Source organism: Homo sapiens, chromosome 1 (assembly GCF_000001405.40).
Source record: "Homo sapiens chromosome 1, GRCh38.p14 Primary Assembly".
NCBI classification, from domain to species: domain Eukaryota; kingdom Metazoa; phylum Chordata; class Mammalia; order Primates; family Hominidae; genus Homo; species Homo sapiens.
The window spans coordinates 144,740,807-144,744,492 of record NC_000001.11 but is presented as its reverse complement, the minus strand read 5'-3'; positions in this window follow the sequence as shown (position 1 = coordinate 144,744,492).

Sequence of the window (3,686 nt, the reverse complement as noted above, 5' to 3'; positions counted from 1 at the left end):
AAGGTGGTTACCAGAGGCTGGGAAGAGGAGTGGGGGGCTGAGGGCAGGTGGGGATGATGTTAGAAAGAATGAATAAGATATACTGTTTGATCACACAGCAGGATGACTGTAGTCATTAATAATTGTACATTTACAAATAACTAAAAGACTGTAATTAGATTGTTGGTATTAGAAAGGATAAATGTGCCGGGTGCAGTGGCTCAGGCCTGTAATCCCAGCACTTTGGGAGGCCGAAGTGGGCGGATCATGAGGTCAGGAGATCGAGAGCATCCCCGTGAACACTGTGAAACCCCATCTCTACTAAAAATACAAAAAAAATTAGCCTGGCATGGTGGCGGGCACCTGTAGTCCCAGCTGCTCAAGAGGCTGAGGCAGGAGAATGGCATGAACCTGGGGGGCGGAGCTTGCAGTGAGCAGAGATCACGCCATTGCACTCCAGCCTGGGTAACAGAGCTGGACTCCATCTCAAAAAAAAAAAAAAAGAAAGAAAGAAAGGATAAATGCTTCAGGGATGGACACCTCATTCTCCATGATGTGCTTATTTCACAGTGCATGTCTGTATCAAAACATCTCATGTACCTCACATATATATGCACCTAATGTGTACCCAGAAAAAAATGAAAAAGAGCATAAAAGAAAAAAAAAACAAAAAACAAAAGCAGAAAAGAGGGCAAATGAGAGTCGGGGACTGTGATCTCATTTTGCCCAGGATGAAGCTGGGTGACCCGGGTACAGAGCAAGCCCCTTGGCTTCTTGAGCTCCCATGTGCAGAGTGAGGGGCGGATGCAGGGGCAGGGTGTGACTTTGATGAACATTCCCTCCAGGTGGCTCTGCCCTCGGCCCCCTCTCAGGATTGTTTGTAGCTCTTTGCCTCTTCTTGGCCATTTGGAGTTTTCAGGGGCCCTACTAGGTCCTCTTGACTTCTCACTTTGCTCTCCTTGGTGGTCTAATTCATGGCCAAGGGCCCACCTGCCGTCCAGACACTGCTTTTCAACCTGACCTCTCAGCTCCAGGCTGGTTATTTCCAACAGCCTACTTGGGTGTCTCAAAGGCACTTTACACTCAATGTGTCCAACACTGAACTCAAGGCTCCCGGCATCGCCATTCAGTTATCCCTCCACATTTCCAACCCTATGGATTGCACTAGCGTCTGTCCATTATGCAGGCCAGGCTGCAAAGGCTGTCTCAACGCTGCCCTTATGCTGTCGGGGCTTAGAACATGACACCCCAAAGCGTGGTGCCTCAGCCTGAGTATTTTGAACTGAAGGACATTGGAAGGAACTCAGAAGCAAGGTCTTTCCAACCTCCTCAGACCCTCTCTTCTGCTTGCCTTCATCCTCCAAAGTGAGTCACAGAAACCAGAATTTATCTTCCTCAAGATGGGTCATAGAACCTAGAAACCCTCCTGCTAAAGCAAACCATAAAACCTAGAAAGGTCACTCTCTATCTTCTCCTTCTCCTTTGAAAACTCTCATTTCAGAAAGGGTCCCGCCCCATACCCAGGAGGAATGGAGGCTACACAGAGAGGCTGAGAAGAATCTGAGCAGACAGTTTTGCTGGGTCCCCTTTCAGTCTGTTCCCAGTAGGTCATACCCGTTTGTCCAATCACATTTCTATCTGGCTGTCCATTCTTCATCTAATCTAAGCATAAAAATTAACAGTTTTCCCTGGGCCTTTGGGTTGTCATTTCTGAAGCCTCCCATGTCACATAAAACTTGGATTAAATAAATTTGCTCTGTTTTTCTCTTGTTAATGTGTCTTTTGTTATAGGAGTGTTGGCCGTGACCCTTAAGATGGATAAGTAAAGGACTCACACCTTCACAGCTCTACAGCCCCATCTCCAATAAGTAGCCACACCTGCCACTTCTACCCACAAATACCTGGATTCCGCTCATCTCTTCCCATTGTCATTCCTACCACTCAATTCCCTGTCACCATCATCTCCTGATGGGTCTTCTGGAGCAGCTTCCTCACTCATCTCTCCAGTTCATCCCTTGCTTCTACCAGTCTATCCTTGCTACGGTAAAACGGGCATTTGAGAAAGGCAATTACACGGTTACCCCTCCCCTGCTCAGCACTCTCCAATTTGATGGACACCAAAATCCTTGCCTTGGTCCCCTTGGTCCTGCGTGCCCTCCTCTCTGGCCTCATCTCAAGCCACTGCCCTCGTGCTGCACTCTTCCTCTGTAATCCACACTGCTGGCTTCTTTTCCTTGAATGTGCTATGCTCTCTCCTGCTGCAGGAGGGCCTTGCACTTGCTGCTTCCTCTTCTTTCTTCTAGTGAATTCCTATTCCTCCTTCAGCTCTCCATTCAAGCCAGTGCCTCAGGGAAGTCTTCCCTCACCTCTAGACCAGGTCTGGTGTCCCTGCCATGAAGCCTCACAACACCATCCAGCTTTCCTTCCTTGCATCTGTCATAGCTTTTGATCATACAATGATGTGTGGGACTTTCTGAATAGTGGTCCCTCTTTACCAATTAACTGTGAGCCTCAAGAGAAAGGAATAATGTCTGTTTGCTCCTCCTCTGTATCCCTAGTGGTGGTAGAAGAGGAGATCAATAATTATCCTCAAATGAACTAAAATGAATGGATGCTTAGATTTTTTTTTTTTTTTTTTTTGAGACAGGGTCTTGCTCTGTTGCCCAGATGTGATGATCATGGTTCACTGCAGCCTCAACCCCTGGGGCTCAAGTGATCCTCCCACCTCAGCCTCCCAGGTAGCTGGAACTACATGCATCCACCTCTATGCCTGGCTAATTTTTGTATTTTATTTTATTTTATTTTTTTAGAGATGGGCTATTTTTACGTTGCCCAGACTCGTCTCGAACACCTGGGCTAAAGCAATCTGCCCACCTCAGCCTCCCAAAGTACTGGGATTACAGGCAGGAGCCACTGTGTCTGGCCCAATGCTTAAGATCTTTTGAGACAAAAAGGAGGAAGTGGGAGATAGTTTCAATACCACAGGAAGCTCAGAAAAAAAAACACCCCCCAACCCCCCCAAAAAACACACATGTATTTATTTGATATTTGGCTGTGCAGGTTAAAAAGTTATTTATTTATTTATTTGCTTTTGGAAAAACTCGAGTCAGCTTGATGAGGTCACTTTTTCCTGCTACTCCTTCTTATTTGGGGAGTAAAGGGACTTCCATGATCTGGATGGATGATTGTGATGAGGAGGTTACCGGGATTGCCCTGAGAGAATGGACTGTGAGCTTTCAGGGATGGAAGCTGCATCTTCATCTCTATAATCCCTTGTTTGGCACAGTGTCAGCCTGAGAAGATGCTTGGCGACAAATATGAATTATGGCACACACTGTTAATTTCTTACCCATGAGCAGTTCCTTTGCTTGCTAACAGAAAATCCTGATTTTGCTTGGATAAACAAAGTGTCCAGTGTCAGGTGATGACTCAAGGTTGGTTTAAGCCAGGCTGGGGCCTTTTGTTCCTTTTTGCCTGATACTTGAAAGAGTTTACAGTAGGGACTGTCCTGTGGTCCACTTCTGCATAATGAGACATAAGGAGAAGTCTGCTGTGTCCTTCTAAGAAGATTTTCTTCACTGGTTAAAGGCGAGAGACACATCAAGAAAAGCCCCCCTTGACATAGCTTCCTCCATCTTGTTCCTGGAGTCTGAACTTGGTCATGATGGCTGGAGCTATAACAGCCATCCTGTGATCATGAAGCTCCA